General features: G+C 52.5%; 2 protein-coding genes across 22 annotated transcripts in view, besides 5 other annotated features; one reads left to right on the forward strand and one right to left on the reverse strand.

Moving 5' to 3' along the window:
• EPHX1 (epoxide hydrolase 1) overlaps positions 1-12,534 on the forward strand; it is a 35,440-nt gene extending 22,906 nt beyond the window's left edge. For 6 of the 14 annotated variants that reach the window (NM_001291163.2, NM_001378426.1, NM_001136018.4 and 3 more), the window contains 6 exons: positions 5,625-5,852; positions 6,188-6,317; positions 6,800-7,008; positions 9,337-9,445; positions 11,469-11,594; positions 12,117-12,534. In NM_001291163.2, coding sequence (NP_001278092.1) covers positions 5,625-5,852; positions 6,188-6,317; positions 6,800-7,008; positions 9,337-9,445; positions 11,469-11,594; positions 12,117-12,318 — 1,004 coding nt within the window. In that variant the 3' untranslated portion in view covers positions 12,319-12,534. The remainder of the gene's footprint in view (positions 1-5,624; positions 5,853-6,187; positions 6,318-6,799; positions 7,009-9,336; positions 9,446-11,468; positions 11,595-12,116) is intronic. The other 8 variants (NR_165625.1, NR_165627.1, NM_001378429.1 and 5 more) reach the window with 6 other exon arrangements.
• TMEM63A (transmembrane protein 63A) overlaps positions 7,527-20,128 on the reverse strand; it is a 41,825-nt gene continuing 29,223 nt past the window's right edge. For 6 of the 8 annotated variants that reach the window (XM_011544330.4, NM_014698.3, XM_047435144.1 and 3 more), the window contains 6 exons: positions 19,635-19,740; positions 16,883-17,050; positions 15,868-15,983; positions 15,463-15,525; positions 14,005-14,184; positions 12,507-13,903 (listed from right to left, as the gene is read on the reverse strand). In XM_011544330.4, coding sequence (XP_011542632.1) covers positions 14,011-14,184; positions 15,463-15,525; positions 15,868-15,983; positions 16,883-17,050; positions 19,635-19,740 — 627 coding nt within the window. In that variant the 3' untranslated portion in view covers positions 12,507-13,903; positions 14,005-14,010. Of the gene's footprint in view, positions 8,159-12,506; positions 13,904-14,004; positions 14,185-15,462; positions 15,526-15,867; positions 15,984-16,882; positions 17,051-19,634; positions 19,741-20,128 lie in introns of those variants that run through there. The other 2 variants (XR_007065257.1, XR_949163.4) reach the window with 1 other exon arrangement.
• Positions 12,877-13,687: an enhancer, noted in NCBI's record as "H3K27ac-H3K4me1 hESC enhancer chr1:226033607-226034417 (GRCh37/hg19 assembly coordinates)". NCBI's record gives its function as "activates a minimal SCP1, AML or CMV promoter by ChIP-STARR-seq in naive and primed H9 embryonic stem cells {active_cell/tissue: H9 hESC(naive and primed)}" and the evidence as "EXISTENCE:reporter gene assay evidence [ECO:0000049][PMID:30033119]".
• Positions 15,323-15,372: an enhancer, noted in NCBI's record as "active region_2630". NCBI's record gives its function as "activates an Ori minimal core promoter by ATAC-STARR-seq in GM12878 lymphoblastoid cells {active_cell/tissue: GM12878}" and the evidence as "EXISTENCE:reporter gene assay evidence [ECO:0000049][PMID:35858748]".
• Positions 17,201-17,747: an enhancer, noted in NCBI's record as "NANOG-H3K4me1 hESC enhancer chr1:226037931-226038477 (GRCh37/hg19 assembly coordinates)". NCBI's record gives its function as "activates a minimal SCP1, AML or CMV promoter by ChIP-STARR-seq in naive H9 embryonic stem cells {active_cell/tissue: H9 hESC(naive)}" and the evidence as "EXISTENCE:reporter gene assay evidence [ECO:0000049][PMID:30033119]".
• Positions 18,992-19,041: a silencer, noted in NCBI's record as "silent region_1860". NCBI's record gives its function as "represses an Ori minimal core promoter by ATAC-STARR-seq in GM12878 lymphoblastoid cells {active_cell/tissue: GM12878}" and the evidence as "EXISTENCE:reporter gene assay evidence [ECO:0000049][PMID:35858748]".
• Positions 19,132-19,181: an enhancer, noted in NCBI's record as "active region_2631". NCBI's record gives its function as "activates an Ori minimal core promoter by ATAC-STARR-seq in GM12878 lymphoblastoid cells {active_cell/tissue: GM12878}" and the evidence as "EXISTENCE:reporter gene assay evidence [ECO:0000049][PMID:35858748]".

The raw sequence follows: 20,128 nt of genomic DNA on the forward strand, positions 1-20,128 counted from the left end.
GGAGTGCAGCGGCTATTCACAGGCGTGATCATGGCTCACCACAGCCTCGAACTCCTGGGCTCAAGCAATCCTCTCGCCTCAGACCTCCTGAATAGCTGGTACTATAGGCGAGCACCACTGTGCCCAGCTTGTTAATTTTTTATATTGAAGAAATTGTACATGTTAGGAATCTTATTTTTAATGTTTTAAGATAATTTGGCCTTTTCAAGGAACAGTGAAGATTTTAATTTGTTAAAATTCTAGGAATTACTTAAAGTGTATGAAAGACATGTTGGTCAGTCAGATAAACTAAAGTTCCTAAAAAAAGGAAATTGAAATTATAGTGTTAACTGGGTGTGGTGGCATGCACCTGTAGTCCCAGCTACTCAGGAGGCTGAGGCAGGAGGATTGCTTGAGCCCAGGAATTCAAGGCTGCAGTGAGCTACAAGGACACCACTGCACTGGGTGACAGATCAAGACCCCATCTCTTAAAAAAAGAGAGAGAGGCTGGGCACGGTGGCGCACGCCTGTAATCCCAGCACTTTGGGAGGCTGAGGCAGGTGGATCACGAGGTCAGGAGGTTGAGACCATCGTAGCTAACACGGTGAAATCCTGTCTCTAATAAAAATACAAAAAATTAGCCAGGTGTGGTGGCGGGTGCCTGTAGTCCCAGCTACTCGGGAGGATGAGGCAGGAGAATGGCGTGAACCCAGGAGATGGAGCTTGTGGTGAGCTGAGATCACACCACTGCACTCCAGCCTGGGCGACAGAATGAGACTCTGTCTTTAAAAAAAAAAAAAAAAAACAGGCTGGGCGCCGTGGCTCACGCCTGTAATCCCAGCACTTTGGGAGGTCAAGGCGGGCAGATCACAAGGTCAGGAGATCGAGACCATCCTGGTCTAACTTGGTGAAACCCCGTCTCTACTAAAAATACAAAAAATTAGCCGGGCGTGGTGGCAGGCGCCTGTGGTCCCAGCTACTTGGGAGGCTGAGGCAGAAGAATAGCGTGAACCCGGAAGGCGGAGCTTGCAGTGAGCCCAGATTGCGCCACTGCACTCCAGCCTGGGTGACAGGGCAAGACTCTGTCTCAAAAAAAAAAAAAAGAAAAAAAAAAAAAGCCGGGTGCGGTGGCTCACACCTGTAATCCTAGCACTGTGGGAGGCCGAGGCGGGTGGATCCCAAGGTCAAGAGATCGAGACCATCCTGGCCAACATGGTGAAACCCCGTCTCTACTAAAAATACAAAAATTAGCTGGGCATGGTGGCACGTGCCTGTAGTTCCAGCTACTCGGGAGGCTGAGGCAAAAGAATTGCTTGAACCAGGGAGGCGGAGGTTGCAGTGAGCCGAGATCGCGCCACTGCACTCCAGCCTGGCAACAGAGCAAGACTCCATCTCAAAAAAAAAGGGAGAAAGGAAGGATGGACGGAAACCTCGACTTGGAGGTGCCAGGGCAGCAAACATCCTTGTTCTGATGCAAGCAGGCCAGGCCTGTGGGAGAATGAGCCAGAGAAAAGCTAAGTCAAATCCCAGTGGTGTGTGTCCTGGAACTAGAGCCCATCCTGGAGCTCAGCCAAGAACACTAAAAAAAAAAAAAAAAAAAATCTGGAATGATTTTTTGGATCAAATTTGGACTTCTCTTGAGTGTTGCTGTATTCTTTACAGTAATTTGATATCTTCTATTATGAGCCTAACAAGAGGATCCAAGCCACTTAATCCCAGCCAAACTGCTGTATGCAATTACCATAGGTTCCTGTTTGGATTCCTGGCACGAAATTGCCTGGCTTCCTTGAGTTTGACTTGGATCCCTGTGTTGTCCCAGCTCTTCAGTGTCCATCCAGCAGAAACTAACAGGGCGCCTGCTGTACCCAGGCATTCTGCTGGGGCTGGGGACGCATAGAGAGGACAGGGTCCCTCCTTCACAGCTCATAGGCTCTTCAGGGGCAATTCCAGCACATAGTGGCGGTGTTCTGAAGGAGGAGGCTCTGGGAGCTTCATGAGCCCCACAATCTTCCTTTGAATGTGAGGGAAGGCTTCCTGGAGGAGGTGGCATCTAAGCTGAAATGAGTGGGACTTTGCCAGGTGTGTGGGGAAGGTGGTCCAAGAAAGGGGAACAGCATGTTCAAAGGCCCAGAGGCAGGAGGCAGTAAAGGGCCCTTTCCATCCTGGCAGCTGCCAGCCTTACCCCACTGGACCCTTTCAGGGTTCTTCATGAGACTGGGTTTTTTTTAGAGACAGGGTCTCACTCTGTCAGCCAGGCTGGAGTGCAGTGGTGTGATCACAGTTCATTGCAGCCTCAATTTCCTGAGCTCAAGCGATCCTCCCACCTCAGCCTCTCAAGTAGCTGGGACCACAGGTATGCACCACCACACTAGGCTTTTTTTTTTTTTTTTTTTTTTCTTGAGACGGAGTCTCGCTCTGTCACCCAGGCTGGAGTGCAGTGACGCAATCTCGACTCACTGCAAGCTCCGCCTCCCAGGTTCACGCCATTCTCCTGCCTCAGCCTCCCGAGTAGCTGGGACTACAGGCGCCCGCCACCATGCCCAGCTAATTTTTTGTATTTTTAGTAGAGACGGGGTTTCACCGTGTTAGCCAGGATGATCTTGATCGCCTGACCTCGTGATCCACCTGCCTCAGCCTCCCAAAGTGCTGGGATTACAGGTATGAGCCACGGCACCCGGCCTTTGTTTTTTCTTTCCTTTTTTTTTTTTTTTACATTTTTAGTAGAGACAAGGTCTCACCATGTCACCCAGGCTGATCGCAAACTCCTGGGCTCAAGCAATTCTCCCACCTTGGCTTCCCAAAGTATCAGGATTATAGGTGTGAGCCACCACACCCAGCTGACATTGGGCATTTATGGTACAAAACCTCCCTCAGGTACAACGGCTCCAAAAGAGCCAGTTTCCAGCATTGAATTCATCGTGGACTTACCCATGTGTGGTTCTGGCACCCTGCCCGGGGCTGGAGGCCTGTTCTTGGCCTTGGTCCTTTAGAATAGGAGTAAATTTGGCAACATAGGAGGACACCCAGGATACATTGTTAAGTTAAAAAAAAAGAGATTCTAAAATAGAATGTATGTATGGTTCTATTTTTGTTAAAAGTTATGTTCTCTAAGTCTTTTTAAAAAGTTTGAACTGTCACAGCCAAGAAGGGTCTAAAGAGACATGACAGCTCAGTGGTGTGTGAGTCCTGGATGGGATCCTGGAACAGAAAATGGATATCAGGGGAAAAACTGAGGAAATCTGGCTCATATTTTGTTGTGTGTAGATACCAGCATTATCCAGGTTTTAAAAAGGAGAAAATCCTGGCCGGGTGTGGTGGCTCACGCCAGTAATCCCAACACTTTGAGAGGCCAAGGTGGGAGGATGGCTTGAGCCCAGTAGTTTGAGACCAGCCTGGGCAACATAGCGAGACCCCTTCTCTACAAAAAAAAATAACAAAAATAGGCTAGACATGGTGTTGCCCACCTGTAGTCCCAGCTACTTGAGAGGCTGAGGTGGGAGGATCACTTGAGCCTGGGAGGTTGAGGCTGCAGTGAGCCGTGATTGTGCCACTGCACTTCAGCCTGGGCAACACAGTGAGACCTCATCTCTAAAAGAAGAAGAAAAAAAAAGGAAATCCTGCAATGTGTGACAACATGAATAAACTCTGAGGAAATAATGCTAAGTGAAGTAAGCCAGGGACAGGACAAATACCGCATGATTCCACCTATAGAAGGAATCTGAAATAGTCAAACTCAGCAGAAGCAGAGAGGAGAAGGGTGGTTGTCAGGGGCTGGGGAATAGGGGAAACGGCATTGCTGATCGTTGCTGTGTAAAGTTTGAGTCCTGCCAGCCGAATACATCCTAGAGATGGGCTGTACAGCAGAGCGCCGTCAGTGTTGGACACTTACAATCTGTTAAAAGGGTAGGACCCATATTAAGTGTTCTCGCCATATAATAAAAAGTGTAAACACTAAGGAAATCAATGGACTTTATAGTTAATAATATCTCAGTCTGGTTCGTTAATTGTAATAAATGTACCATGCTAACATAAAATATTAATAATGGAGGAAACCCGGTGGGTGTGAGGTATATGGGAGTTTTCTGGATTCTTTGCAGTTTTTCAGCAATCTAAAACTGTTCCAAAATAAAGTTTAGACAGACAACACCATGTTTTCTTTAGAGAGTGGGATTACATGTGAGTCTTCCCCCTTTGGCTTATCTGTGTTTTCTAAGTTTTCTACAGTAAACATGTATTATTTGTATAATATATTAACGACAGAACAGAACATTAGCTAGACCATGCTGACTGCACCAGCCCTGGTGGCAGAGAGTTCCAAGCATGGCAGCCGCCCTCACTGTGAATGCCGTAAGGCCCCAGGTGCTGTCCAGGGCACTGGCCTGGGAAGGGGCTGCCTTCTTTTGATATGCAGAGGCCCCAAGTCAGTCCAGAGGAGACAAGAATCCATTCACCTGCCCTTGGCTATGATGATGTTTTCAGCATTGCACTTAAAAAAAAATCTTCCACTTTATTTTATTTTAATTTTTTGAGATGGAGTCTTGCTCTGTTGCCCAGGCTGGAGTGTGGTGGTGTGATCTCGGCTCAGTGCAACCTCTGCTTCCCAGGTTCAAGCGATTCTCTTGCCTCAGCCTCCCGAGTAGCTGGAATTGCAGGCGCCTGTCAGCATGCCCGGGTAATTTTTTTGTATTTTTAGTAGAGACGGGGTTTCACCATGTTGGCCAGGCTGGTCTTGAGCTCCTGACCTTAGGTGATCCACCCGCCTCAGCCTTCCAAAGTGCTGGGATTACAGGCGTGAGCCACCACACCAGGCCCAAAAATACTCCACTTTAAAGAAAATATCATTTGGTAATCAGAAAAAGGTGACATTTTGTCAATGTGTATGAAAAAAATTATGCATTTAATACCTGTTCATTGTAGAAAAATTGGAAAGTACATAAAACTCAAAGAGAAATTAAAAGCACTGGAATCTACTGCTCAGGAGAACTGCTTTTTACATTCTTGGAGTTTATCCTCCCAGACTTTTAAAATTCACCAATACATAGTATAAGTACAGTATAAGCATAGATGACTTTTTATAAAAACTGGGTCACACAATGGATATGACTTGATCATTTGCTTTTACCTCCCAGCAATATCTTCTGATCAGTTTTCTATGTTAAATAAATATACATCTACCTTGTCAGTTTAGATGACTGTACTGGACTCCAGTATACTGTCAAACTATACTTGATTAATCCTGTATTGCTGGATACGTGGGGCTTTCTCCCTACCCTCCAGATTTTAAATTATTGAACAAGTATTTATGGAGGCCTGCTGTGAGCCAGGAGCTGTCCTGAGCCCTGGAAACCCAGCAGTGGCTGTACAGACCTGGCCCAGCTGTCAGGGGGCACCTCTAAGGAAACCGGGAGGCAATAATCGTAGCTCCCTTGCAGGGAGGTTGTGAAGGCTGAGTGAGGACATCTGTGCACCTGGAGCACAGTGTGAGTGTGAAACCAGTGTCAGCCCTTATTACTGTCAATACCATGAAGGGGCGGCGGGGGCACTAAGGGTGGCAGGACTCAATATCTAGGCTCTGGGGGGTGCCAGAGCCTGACCGTGCAGGGTCTTCTCTCTCCCTCCACCCTGACTGTGCTCTGTCCCCCCAGGGCTGGACATCCACTTCATCCACGTGAAGCCCCCCCAGCTGCCCGCAGGCCATACCCCGAAGCCCTTGCTGATGGTGCACGGCTGGCCCGGCTCTTTCTACGAGTTTTATAAGATCATCCCACTCCTGACTGACCCCAAGAACCATGGCCTGAGCGATGAGCACGTTTTTGAAGTCATCTGCCCTTCCATCCCTGGCTATGGCTTCTCAGAGGCATCCTCCAAGAAGGGTACGGGGCTGCTAGAGGTTCCATAACTGCCCCGTCCTCGCCAAGGGTGGGCCCGGTGTTCCCACCAGGCTCTCCTTCCGGCGGGGTGAGCAGGGAGTTGGCCCGAGGAAGCTGGGAAAGGAGGGGCCTGAGAGGCCGGCCCCAGACACACCGCCCTCCGGGGCTGGAGATGCCACCCCTATATTTGGGCTCCAGGATTCCTTCTTGCCTCTGTGAGCTTTTCTGACCTCCACCTGGGGGTAGGCGGGCCTGAGAAATTTCATAGAACACCAGAGGGCCCAAGGAGCAATCTGCCTGTGACTCCGTGACTCCATGCCTTTCCCCATCACTGCCAGGGTTCAACTCGGTGGCCACCGCCAGGATCTTTTACAAGCTGATGCTGCGGCTGGGCTTCCAGGAATTCTACATTCAAGGAGGGGACTGGGGGTCCCTGATCTGCACTAATATGGCCCAGCTGGTGCCCAGGTGAGGTCACTGTTGGGGTGGTGTGTGTGTGTGTGTGTGTGTGTGTGTGTGTGTGTCCTCTAAGAAGTGGACCTGTGTGCAGGGTGGGCCAAGGACCCCCCAGGGGAGAGGAGGGAGTGTGACCTGTCACTCAGCAGTGCCTGAGGCACGTTGACTTGGATCCTCCTGTCTGTAACCCAGGGTTGCGGCTCTGGGTCAGGTTCCCAGGCAGAGAAGGCCTGTGATAGGAGGGGAAGGTCAGGCATTAGACCTCTCTGCTGGACCAAGCTCTGGGATAGCCCTGAGCAGAACTCCCCAGAAACTGTATTTTTCCCCCAACCTCCCTTCTCCAACTCCCATGGCCTCCCCAGTGGGGCCAGTGCTGAAAGAGGCTGGCTCTGTGCTCGCTCCTCAGCCCTGAGGCCTGTTCCTCCGCCATCTCTCCTCTCTCCCTGTCCTTGACACCAGCCCAGCCTCACCCCGGCCCCTCTCTCTGCCTTCAGCCACGTGAAAGGCCTGCACTTGAACATGGCTTTGGTTTTAAGCAACTTCTCTACCCTGACCCTCCTCCTGGGACAGCGTTTCGGGAGGTTTCTTGGCCTCACTGAGAGGGATGTGGAGCTGCTGTACCCCGTCAAGGAGAAGGTATTCTACAGCCTGATGAGGGAGAGCGGCTACATGCACATCCAGTGCACCAAGCCTGACACCGTAGGTGAGTGTGCTCAGGGGTCCTCGCCCACTGCCGGCTCCACTGGGGCAGGGAGACACCCGCGGGGTAACCTCACCACCCCACCCCAATGCTGCCCACAGAAGGAAGCCTCTTGTAAGGACCTCCCAGCTCTTTAGATCTTTAAACTGCATTTTCCCATAGAATCAAGAGGATGGACCCTCAGCAGATTCCCAGGCCAATTTAGCAACTCTGTTTAGCCGACTCAGTATTCATAGTGGCTTTCACCCCTGATCTCCCACCCCTGAGTCTATATCCTACACTGAGAAGCAGAGGGATGGAGGGGGTGAGGTAGGAGGAATCCTGGGAGTGGGCAGCTCTGGGGCTGCAGGGGAGAGGGGAGAGGGTGCCCTGGGGCCTTGGGGAAGAGGTTCCCAGGCAGTGAGGGAGGGCCCAGCAACCATGTCTGCCACCAGGGTCCTGTTAAAGGACAATACTTTTTCAAAAAGGTAAATTTATAAAGGAACCAGTAAAATTTTAAAAAGAAACAATTCAAAGACAAATAAGAACACTGAAATTAATTTGCTAACAGACACAAAACTTGTCAACATCCACAGAGTAATATCAATTAAATCTCCATGGGACAAAATTCATTTGCCTCTATGAACAAGAGTCATTCGCATTACCCTCAGTTCTTTACAATTCACAGAACTGTAAAATAGCTCAATGACAAGGAAAGATGGGACCCCTGTAGCATCACGTCAGTCCGGAAGGTCTGCTAGGTAACTCCCTAGATCTTGTCCAGAAGACACCCAGGAATTGTCTTGCCCATCTCAAAGTTCTTCATAGTTTTCATGGCAAACCCATGCCCACACACACGAGGCAGCTCATAATCATAATAATGGCACTTTATAAAAGTCAGCATTTTTCTCTGATTATAAAATACATGTTGTCAAAAAGCTTAAAAATGCAAAAAGTACAAAACATTAAAGACAATCTCATATAACCTCTTCTCCCTCCCCACATCCCCTCTCCTTCAAAAGAACTTGTGAACATTTTGGTGAGAATTTTCACAAGTGAAGTACGTCCATATCACCAACATGGCCCCAACACTCCAGATGCCCCTCGGGGTTCTCTCCCAGGTACCACGCTCTGACTTCTGACTGAGATGGTTTTGATTGTGCCTGTTTAAGTCCTATGAATAGAATCACAGAGTATATACCCTTGAGTCTGGCTTCTTTTGCTCAATATTATGTTTGTGAGATTCATTTATGCCATTGTCCCAGCTTTATTTATTTATTTTTTCTCAAGACCCAGTCTGGCTCTGTTGCCCAGGGTAGAGTGCAGTGGTGTGATCTCAGCTCACTGCAACCTCCGCCTCCCAGGTTCAAGCAATTCTCCTGCCTCAGCCTCCCAAGTAGCTGGGATTACAGGCACCTGCCACCATGCCTGGCTAATGTTTTGTATTTTTAGTAGAGACGGGGTTTTACCATGTTGGCCAGGCTGGTCTCGAACTCCTGACCTCAGGTGATCCACCCGCCTCGGCCTCCCAAAGTGCTGGGATTACAGGTGTGAGCCACCGCACCCAGCCTGTCCCACTGTCCCAGCCTTTTTTTTTTTTTTTTTTGAGACAGAGTCTTGCTCTGTTGCCCAGGCTAGAGTGCAGTGGTACGATCTCGGCTCACTGCAACCTCCACCTCCCGGGTTCAAGCAATTTGCCTGCCTCAGCCTCCCAAGTAGCTGGGATTACAGGCATGCACCACCATGCCCTGCTAATTTTTTTGTATTTTTAATAGAGATGGGGTTTCACCATGTCAGCCAGGATAGTCTCGAACTCCTTACCGCAGGTGATCCACCTTTCTCACCCTCCCAAAGTGCTGGGATTACAGGCATGAGCCAATGCCCCCAGCCTGTTCCAGCCATTTTTAATGACTGTACAGTATTTTGGCTTATGAGTATATCAATATTTGTAACTGATCCCCTATTTTAGACTTTTTTAGGTGGCTTCTCATTTTTCATGAATCAGAGCACATAGACTGAAAAACCCCGCCTTTTTAAAAACAGCACTTCTCATTGGGACCCCACCAAATGCAGAGGCGTAGGCCCTTCAGTTTGAAGGAAGCTGAGCAGGCAGTGTGCCAGGCCCTGGGAGACAGTGGGAAGGTATCGTCCCTGTTTATCAGATGAGGATGCCGAGGCAGAGTTAAGGAAGCGAGGCATGTGAGCACCCAGGAGTTAAGGCAGGCCTGTGCTCGAACGTGGCTTCCTGCACACAGCCCCGCCCTCTGCGGCCAGTGCCACACATCACACCTGAAGCTCCAGCTCTCTGGTCCCCAGGCCTGAGTCTCTCCCTTGCTCCCCGCTCCCCGCCAGGCTCTGCTCTGAATGACTCTCCTGTGGGTCTGGCTGCCTATATTCTAGAGAAGTTTTCCACCTGGACCAATACGGAATTCCGATACCTGGAGGATGGAGGCCTGGAAAGGTGAGGCCCTGGTTTGCCCCTGCAGTCATGACCCTGGTCCCAGCAGCCAACCTCCTCACCCTCTTCATCCCCTTGTCTGGTTGCTCTGCATGGGGCACTCAGCAAATTCTATTGTTGGCTTTCTTACAAATCCTCACCCTGTGACCAACGTAGCTGCATTTTTTGGGTGAGGTGGCCTGGTGGGTTGTTCCCAGCCTCACAGTGCATGGTCAAGACTAGGATGCAGGCTCACCTGCTTGTGCTCCTTTTGCTGAACAGGCCCCTCTGGGGATTAGGGAGCCCACAGGGCAGCAGGCACCACATTATTGTCAAGAGCACCTGGGCTTTTCCTCCTGATTCCCTGGAGAGCCTGGCATCAGGGTCACGTGACTGCGTGTTCCAGGAGGGTGGTCGCAGAAAGACAGGAGGCTGTTAATCTCTCAGAGCCTTAGAGGCTGTATCCTCTACATGCCTGACTCCCAGCTCTGTGGCCTGACTCAGGCTTCACCAAGGTCAGCTCTGACCCACCCTTTCCAGGGCCCATCCCTTTATTCCTTCAGTGACACACAGGACCAGACAGTGCTGGGGATGGGAAAGACAGTAAAATGAGACTGAATCCTGCCTTGGGGGTAGGGACTCTGTCTTGGCCATGCTGTAGCCCCATCACCTAGAACAATGCCGGGTGAACAGTGGGAGAGCCCAGTACATAGATGTTGAATGAATGCGCAAAGGACTGTGAGAGTCCAGTGGAAGGAGGATTCTTTGTCTAAGCGGCAGAGAGGGGAAATGACCAGGAGAATGTATCTGATTTGGGCCTTGGAGGATAAGTAGGAGTTTGCTGGATGGAGGAGAGAAACTTAGGCAAAGAGAAAAGCAATAAAAATGCAAGGAAAGGGTGCTTGGAAAGGGTGGCTTGTCCAGAGGCTGAAGCAGGTACACTGGGGCCAGATCAAAAGCAAACTCATTCCTGCAGGCAGGTCCTCACCTCCTCCAAGAGCCTCAGCAGGGCCTTCGTCTGGGATCTGTTTCCCCTGCCCTACATTCAGCAGGACACAGGGGTTGATGGAGCTTCTGCAAGACCACCTTGGCAGGGGGTCTGGCCTGCTCCTTGCACACGGATACCTGGAGCAAGATGTGAGGCCCCACCAGACTATCCCACTAGGCCACTCCTGCAGCTCTGGCCCCGGGTTACAGGGAGCACCAAATCCCTGAGCAGGAGGTAGACAGGATCAGATCTGTGTTCTAGAAAGAACAGGAATACACTAGGGTGGAAATGGTGGTCGTGGTCGTTTTCAAGCTGCGGGCAGAGCTGAAAGGGAGATGGAAGCACTTGGCCAACTTGCAGAAATCCAGTTCACAGAGGTGATGTGTATACTGGAACTAGTTTTCATTGACCAGTTTTCATTTTGCCACCAAAATCACATTGAAAAGGCTGTTCCCTTTATCTCTGTCCCTGCTCCCTGCTGCTGTTGCTAGAGATTCAGGGTTTGAGTGAGGAAGGTAGGGTTGGGAGGGCGTGCTCTGGGGAAAGTGGAAGGTGGGGTGGGGGCTGTGGAGTATGCATCCTGGACCCAAGCTGGCTAGGTTTGGATTCTCCACTTAATAAGTAAAATGGAGATAATAGTACCTATGTCCCATAGGCTGTTGAGAGGAAAACATGAATTAAAAGAAGGTAAGGAGCTTAGAACATGCTGCCTGGTATGTGGTCACCACAGTAGCTGGTGCCCTGAGCAGTTTCACGGTGCAGGGGTTGAGGGGAGGGAGGAGAGGTCAGTGGCAGGAGAGAGGGGACAGGTGTGTAGAGGCAAGGTGGGTGGGGGGAGGACCTTGGGGTGATAAGAGACACTTCAACTAAATCCATGCGCTCCAGTCTAGTGCCCTGGGCGCAGCCTGCCTGTGACACGAGGATACCACACACGTTGCATGAGGTCTGAGGAGGGAAGCCGCATGGGCAGGGCCTGGCATTTGTAGGACTTTCTGGCTGCCCTTTGTCACACAACTGCATGTGGCACTGAGAGTGGGGCTTTGTGTTCTGCGTTCCCAGGAAGTTCTCCCTGGACGACCTGCTGACCAACGTCATGCTCTACTGGACAACAGGCACCATCATCTCCTCCCAGCGCTTCTACAAGGAGAACCTGGGACAGGGCTGGATGACCCAGAAGCATGAGCGGTGAGCCTGGCTGAGCCGAGAACAGGGGCCTCTGAGGCTGGAGGCAGGGGGACGGCCAGTCTTGGGCTCCACGAAGGGCACTTGGTGGTGGGATAAGTATAGCCTTGCCTGCAGGTGCCCCAGGGGCCCTTGGATGGGAACACTAAAGGTCGAGGTGTTTGGAGAAAGCCCTCATGGAGGGACCAGGTGCCTGGCTCCCGGGCGGCCCTCAGTACCGCTCCCCAGTCTAGGATGCTGGTCTGGAGTGGCACTGATGGTTCTGGGATTTCCAAGTCTCACATGGAAACCCTCAAAGGTGGGGATTTAGAGGCTGTCCCATGCCCCTGCCTGGGTGGCCCTCCCAGAAAAGAGAAGGCCCTCAGTGAGGGGAGAGCGGTTGAGACCCTGGATTTGTCCTTTTCTTTATGGCTCCTTGTGGGTGGGCCAGCTGATCTCACCCCCAGGCGCTTTAACCCCCTGCTGTGCAGGACGGAGGGGCGCAGGGCCACAGCCTCACCCCTCCGTCGGCTCTTTCACTTCCAGGATGAAGGTCTATGTGCCCACTGGCTTCTCTGCCTTCCCTTTTGAGCTATTGCACACGCCTGAAAAGTGGGTGAGGTTCAAGTACCCAAAGCTCATCTCCTATTCCTACATGGTTCGTGGGGGCCACTTTGCGGCCTTTGAGGAGCCGGAGCTGCTCGCCCAGGACATCCGCAAGTTCCTGTCGGTGCTGGAGCGGCAATGACCCACCCCTCTCCCCCCGCCTGCCACCTCCCCCCACAAGTGCCCTCCAGGCTTTTCTTGGGGAAGATACCCCTTTTCTGAGGAATGAGTTTGCCTCCGTCCCCTGCCCATGCTGGGAGCCCACGCTCACCCCCTCACCCCTCCAAGCTCACTCCCCAACCCCCAACTCCGTGTGGTAAGCAACATGGCTTTGATGATAAACGACTTTACTCTAAAAGCGGCTGGAACTCAGTGACATGAGCGTGCGCTGACCCCACATGGGGCCCCCTGTGCAAGCAGAGCTGGCCGGCCCCTCCTTGCTGGCAGAGGCACGGGAGGCCTGCTGGGGATGAGGCCACTGGCCAGGGCTATGCTGCACCAGACCAATGGCACCGCCCCCACCCCTCCCAGCGCAGGGGCAGCTTGGAGCAGAGGCAGCACTGGCCACCACTGCGGGGGCAAGTCAGCGTCAAGAGAGTCCCTGAGTGAGAAGGCCCAGATAAGCCCAGGCCCCCCAGGCCAGCGGACAGGCACAGGCAGGGCCTACAGAGGTGCCAAGGCCCCAGGCCAGTTGTGCTAGGAGCCTGGACCTGCTCTTCCACACCCCCATCCCGCCCCTACTGCACAGGCTTGTGCCTTGGTGCCCCCTGGAGGCAGCAGGGAGGAGGCTTCTCAGGCAGAAGTCTTAAGTTGCATCCCATTCCCCAGAATCCCCAGGAGGGAGAAGAGGGATGGGCTGCCCCTCCTTCCTGCCAGAGCCACAGCTCAAGGGCAGTGGGATGGCCCTGCACCCAGCCCAGGTACCCCTTCCTCTGTGCCGACCATGCTGTCCTTTGGCTCCGAGGAGGCCCTGAGCACTGCCCACCCCCACACCTTGGAGGGAGCAGACGGAGGGGGTGAGTACTGCACAGAGCCTGCCTGGAGGTGCAGACTCATGCACTCAGCCCTGAAGAGGTGAGAGAGGCTGGATCTTAACTGTGGTCCAATGGGCATATTATGAGTGGTCCTTGTCCCTGCCTGCTATGGGGTAACCCTGACCCAGCTAGCGTCCCTGACAACATGATACAAAAACACAGAACTCTAGCGGGATACAGAGATGTGTGCACAGCTGGCAGGAGCACTGGCCACCTCCCAACCTGTTCCCCATAGCTTACTCCTGGATGTAGCCTGGAGGGACTGCTGGGCTGGGGAGGGACTGGCCATGGAGCAGGGAGCTGGATGCCAGCGGGACCTCAGACCTGGACTGCAGCATCTCTTTGGTTATCGGTTGTGTGTGTGCTCAGAAGGGAGGAGGCCTTCCCCTTGTTACATCTCTCTCTCCATATATTCTCCCGGACTCATCAGTTTGGGGGGCGAAAAGTCCACCACATGGTCTTGGCGACAAACCACTGGGGATGTCACCCCAGCTGCAGAGCTGGAAGCTTGTGCCGGAGGGGAAACTGGGTGAGCAAGGGAGGGGCGAGGCCTGCCTGTGCTCTCCTCACCACTGCTGGGACCAGAAAAGATGGGCACCTGATAGCTCAGCTGGGCAGTCCCAACGCATTCCCACTCAGCCAAGGGCCTGAGCCCCAGGCCATTCTGGTTGTGTCTTTTCAGAGCAGTGAGACCTAAAACAGATGGGAAGAAGTCATGAACTTGGGAGTCAGGCCGCTTCACCTGTCTTCTCACCCCACAGGCTCCCCTGAGCCTGGCCCAGCCAGCAGCTCACCCAGCCTCAGGCCTCCTGGGGGGCAGCAGCCACACTGCCCGTGGCGCTCTGCGCCAAGCACTGTCCAGGGATAGTCCCGCTGATGTTGTGGATGGCACCATAGGTCTGCTGCTGCTGCTGCTGCGGAGACAGTGCTGTCCTCTCCGAGGCCAAGCCGTTCAGAATCCGAGGCACGTAGGGCTGTCAGCAAATGGATTTGTGCTTGGCCTGGACAGGCATGAGCTTCCACACTGCATCCCTCCCCTCCTGCCCTTCTCCCAACAGGACACAGACAGTGGCCATAAAGGACATATGAAGAAACACCGACATCCATTTAGGACATTAAGACCGAAAATATGACACCTGCAGAATTTCCTAGCAGCCAGGGCAAAAGAGAAAGCACAGTTATACAGTTCTCATGATCACAGAAGGAAGCACAAGAGAGCAGTTCTCAGAGGAAACTAAACTTCCTAGCCCTGGATCCTAGGAGGATTTCTCACTTTGTAGAAGAAACAAGTCTACCTATATAGGGGGGCTTAGAACGCTGCCCTGGGACCCCTGGGATGCTCAACATATCTGTGTGAGTCTCATTTTGAGTCTCATTTCCTCCCAATCCCAGGCTCCAGCCACTGACCCCAGGCACAGAGCCCTGCCATACTCCTCCTGAGACCCTGGCTGTGAGGGCTTGACATCATCCACCTGTCCTGCATGTTCCCTGCTTGGCCAGCATAGCCACAGGTGTGTCGCTGGGTAATGAGTCCTTCTGAGGCCCTCCCTTGTTTGGAACTTGTCCAAGGACAGACACCGATAAGAGAGCCTGACACCTGGGAGGCAGCCACCAGAAAGAACCCTGCAGATGAGGTCGGCTCTGTCCTGGCCACGGCTGTCAGGAAGGCTGGTGACTACAGCTCTGGAACCCTGGGGCTCTGCTTTCCCTTCCCAGCCCCACCCTAGGAGCAGGACCCTGGAGGCTGTGTGCAGAGAGAACTAGGAAGGCAAGGAGCCCTGTGTCTCTCTACCATGGGGTCTTCCTCTGAAGCAGGTGCAATGTTCATTTCTTGAATTCAAAGGGAAGTCTGCCTGACACCCTCTTGGAGCCTAGTGGAGGACCTCGCACAGGCAGGTGCATCGCTGATGACAAACCTTTGTCAAACCCTAGCGCCTTACCATGTGCCTTCACTAAAGCCCCAAACTCACCAGGCATTAAATATGCAGAGAAGGAAAGAGAGCAGGGAACTGAAACCAAGGGGGATGGCCATGAATCGAGACAAGACTCTATCTCCTCAACAGTTTCAAATATGCAGGTTAAAATACCCAGGGGGACCAGGATTCCTTCTCTGCCATTAATTCACAAACTTGCCTGCCATGTGATCTTAGCAAGAGATGATCAAAGATTTGCCGGGGCCCATCTGGTTGGGACTGTTACAACCAAAGCAAAAAAAAGGGCGACAAGCTCAGAGGCTGAGGGGCACAGCTTACTGTGAACGGTGGGGGCATGTGGGCCTCTGCCTCACTTCCTTTGTCACTTGCAGGCTCTTCTGTCTGCAGATAACAGCAAAAACTTGCGATGATAAACAAAACTGATCTCTGTGAACAAACACCCTCCAAACACACAGACTATTAACACCCGGAATAATAGTACCAGCTGGCACCAAGCTCCCCAGCAGCCCGAGAGAGGATGGGGTGGGGGAGTGCAGGGATGAGGGGAGGAAGGGAAGCTACACATGGCACCCAACCACCCACGCCTTTCCCATGGAGAAGCAGAATCTGGAGAAGGCTGCTGCTGTGTTGATACAGACAAGGGTGGGCGGGGTTGACAGCGAGCCCGTCCCACCATCTGTTCCTCCCAGGGCTTGACCGGGCAGTGGGGTCGGGGGCCTTTACTTTGTAGTTCAGAGGGCTGAGGTGCTTGAAGCATCCAAAGCAGGTGTGAGCCAGGCAGACCAGGATGGTGAGCAGCAGCACCAGGAAGGTGAACAGAGTGGCGGGGGCCTTCATACCTGGTGATAGAGGGTGGCTAGCCTTGGGGTGGGCAGGGAGGGGCCACCACCTACCCTCACCCTGCTGAGGAAGGGGCCGCACCTGGTGTGGAAACTGCCCGTGACTTCTCCCTCAGGCAGAAAATAAAGGTAAGGCCTAACCCCCCACCCCCACCCCTCAACTCCAGCAGCAAGGATGGTGTCTTCACAGCCAGGAACACACAGAGGGACCCACTGAATGACTGGCATCATCCCTGGTCAGATTTCAGGCACTGGGGTGCCAAGTCAATGGCAATTCTTCAGCCTCCTTGCTGGTCCGTTCCCTCCAGTCTCCAGTGCCCTGGGCTAGAGAGGATGGACCCTCCCACACCCCCAGTCTGACCGGGGCAGACGTGTCTTTCCCCCAGGAGTGTCAGTTTTCTCTCCTCCACGTCCCCACCTCTTCCATGCCAGGAGGTACAAGGAGCTGGGCCCAACCACCAGCCTCAAAGGGCAAATCTGGATCAGCTTCCCCATTTCCTCTGGTTCAGTCCCTGCACAGCTGATAAAGGCACTATCTTCTCTCCAGGGATGTATGGGACAATTGACCAGGCCTTCACAAGGGTTACACCTGCACTCGGGCTAGCTTAGGAGCCAGGCTGTCAACACCACACCCAACCAGCCCCTCACCCTGGGTATCATGTTTTGATTGGACACCTAACCAGTCCTCACTCTGGGCACCACATTCTGACTAGACATGTAACCAACCCTCATTCTGGGTACCACGTTCTGATGGGACACCTAACCAGCCCTCACTCTGGGCACCACATTCTGACTGGATGCCATGCTGATGCTGTGAAAGCAATGAGGGATCTGACTGGCTGGTGGGGATGCAGGGCTGGGAGGCCAAGGGCTGGCCCCAGGTCAGAAGGGCTGCTCACCCAGGCGCAGGAAGGAAAAGAAGTAGAGCCAGAAGAGGCACAGGATGGGGGCTGCCAAGGCCTGGTTCACAGCGGCAAAGTGGATCCCCTTCTCCAGCTTGGCTGGGAGGTAGACGAAGTAGAGGTTGTGCCGGTCCACCATGTGCTTGAGCAGGATGTAGATGAGGCCTGCAGGGGATGGGGCTGTGAGCTGGAGACCTCGCAGGGCCACACAGACACCTCTGTCCTCTTCCTCTCCGGGGCGGCTATTTTGGCAAGGAGCCAGGGCTGGGGCTGCTGCTCTACTGCCTGAACACAAAATGAGGCATCCTGCACCTCTGGCTACTAGTTTTTTTTCACTTTCTCTCTCCTACCCACTTCCTCACTTATCTGTGACCCCAAGGTGTAGGGGATCGGTCAGGGTGGTGGGAGAAAATTTAAGATAAAGTTATAGGAAATAGACACAAACCTTCTTGGAAAGCCGAGAGGTTTGCATAGCTTCAGTAAAGGGTTTGGCTGAAGGCAGCTGAATTCTCTTAAAAGCTTAGGGTGCAGATACATAGGAATGTGGGGGAGTTTACCTAAATAGCTTGTTTACTCATGTGGTCCTAAGACCAACCTTTGATCATCCACTGGTGCATGATTGCTCGCTATTCAGGGGGTCGGCAATGTTAATTACCCTCTAGTGGTGTTTACTCGAGACCTTTGTCATTTAGTCTGTACTAAATAAATGCGAACTTCGCCTGGCATTGAGGACTACACTGCAGACTCAGGCTGCAGAGCCCCTTAGCCGCACTGACAGGCAAAATATCTGTCAGTGTATGTCTGTCTGTCTGTTTTTTTGAGACAGAGTCTCTGTTGCCCAGGCTGGAGTGCAGTGGTGCGATCTCGGCTCACTGCAAGCTCCGCCTCCTGGGTTCATGCCATTCTTCTGCCTCAGCCTCTCAAGTAGCTGGGACTACGGGCGCCTGACACCATGCCCGGCTAATTTTTTATATTTTTAGTAGAGATAGGGTTTCACCATGTTAACCAGGATGGTCTCGATCTCCTGACCTCGTGATCCGCCCACCTTTGCCTCCCAAAGTGCTGGGATTACAGGCGAGAGCCACCGCACCCGGCAGTGTATGTCTTTCATCCGTCGCTGGGTCAGGGTCTGTGGGACAGACCCTGCACCAAGGGAGTCACAGTGTCTGTGATCCTGTCCCCACAGAACACTAACATTCCAGAATCATCTTGGAAAGAGGCTGTTTCACAGTTGGATGCCTGGCCTCAATTCCTCCCCAGCCCTTCCCATGCTGAGCCCCTGTATGTCAGTGCTCCCACACCCCTGGCCTTCTCCCACCCGGCTGATCCCTGCCCTCATCACAGTCAACAGAGAATGAGGCCCAAGGGTCTTACCCCAGGGGTGGCACAGGAGCACACAGGGGACCAACAGAAAGTGGGTGCTGCCTTTTCTATTATGCCAGGTTCTTTTGTTTTTTTATTTTTTATTTTTTTTGAGATGGAGTCTCGCTCATTGGTCAGGCTGGAGTGCACTGGTGCAATCTTGGCTCACTGCAACCTCTGCCTCCTGAGTTCAAGTGATTCTCCTACCTCAGCCTCCCGAGTAGCTGGGATTACAGGCGCCTGCCACCATGCCCAGTTAATTTTTGTATTTTTAGTAGGGACAGGGTTTCATCATATTGGCCAGGTTGTTCTTGAACTTTTGACCTCAGGTGATGCACTGCCTAGGCCTCCCAAAGTGCTGGGATTACAGGCATAAGCCATCGTGCCCAGCCCCAGGTTCTTTTTTAAAAAATAAATTTTGTTTTGAAAGTGTAAATACTGTAGATTTTTAAAACTACACAAGAAAGTATACAGGGAAAACTAAAACAACTTTTCCCCCTAAAACTCAGCTATCACTGCCAGCAGTCTCTTGGGTTTTTTGTTTCCTTCTAGAGCCTTTCATTAATCTGCCAGTTGCAGATGTTTTATTTCAGTGGCCAGGACCTTGGTCTTTAAACAGTCCTGAGTTCAAAGGCTGGTTCTCCTGCTTACTAACAACATACGAAGTTATTTTGTGTGAAGGGGGAATAGAAACAGGAACTGCCTTGTAGGATGAGGTGAGAAATGTGGTAATCCACGTGGAGGCAGGCATCTGCCAGAGTGAAAGCAGCACGAGAGCTTTGATTGTGACTCTGGCACTGTCTTACTTGCTGCTAAAGAAATCAACCATGAACGACATAGTCAGTGGGCAGAGAACCTCAGACCAGAAATACTAAGAGAGGTCCTAGCTGAGGGCCAGTGGGAGGAATTCATTTAAAAATGAATGAGGCCGGGTGCTGTGGCTCATGCCTATAATCCCAGCACTTTGGGAGGCTGAGGCGGGTGGATCACCTGAGGTCAGGAGTTCAAGACCAGGCTGGCCAACATGGTGAAACCCCATCTCTACTAAAAATACAAAAAGTTAGGCAGGCATGGTGGCGGGCACCTGTAATCCCAGCTACTCAGGAGGCTGAGATGGGAGGATGGCTTGAGCCCAGGAGGTGGGGGTTGCAGTAAGCCAAGATCATGCCACTCCAGCCTGGGCATCAGCATGAGACCCTGTCTCAAAACAAAAAAAGAAAGAAATGAGTGAAATCTGGTGTCACGTGAGTCTTTAGCAGCTTGTGGCTCTTGTGGCTGTGGTTTTGGGAACTCCATTGTGCCCTGGTGATAGCTGTCCCCGAGAGGTTTGGTGCAATCAGCCGTCCATGTACCCATGTACCCTGGGACAGGCTCCAGGGCCACTCACCAAATGGCGCGATGATGGGACAAGTGATGCTGTAGGCCACGATGACAGTGAAGACACACAGCATCCATGCATACATGGCTCCAAACTCGTACTGGAAGGCCTGGTTCTGGGAGGAGGAGGTGGTGAGGAGCTCATGGACTTGTTCCACCTCAAACACCCTTTTGTGCTCTCTAAGTGGTGATGGGAGAGCAGGGTGGAGGAGGACTTTGGAAATAGGAGATGCGTGGCTCCCCGCCTCCCAAGGTCCTTCCCATCCCTCCCAGCCTGCCCTGCTTCACTCAGTGCACCCAGCCCTCCCGAGGCATGGTGATGCGTGTTTGCTAGTGCTCCCTTCGTTCCACCCAACAGGCATGTGAGCCCCTGGAGGGAAGAGGTGGTCAGGGAAGAGGTGTAGAGTGACTCCAGCCCTTCTAGCAGGGGATCCTGGGCCAGCTTAGTTCATGCCTCTGTGAAATCGGGATACTAGCAGTGCCCAGCTCATAAGGGGGCTGAGA

Source organism: Homo sapiens, chromosome 1 (assembly GCF_000001405.40).
Source record: "Homo sapiens chromosome 1, GRCh38.p14 Primary Assembly".
NCBI lineage: Eukaryota > Metazoa > Chordata > Mammalia > Primates > Hominidae > Homo > Homo sapiens.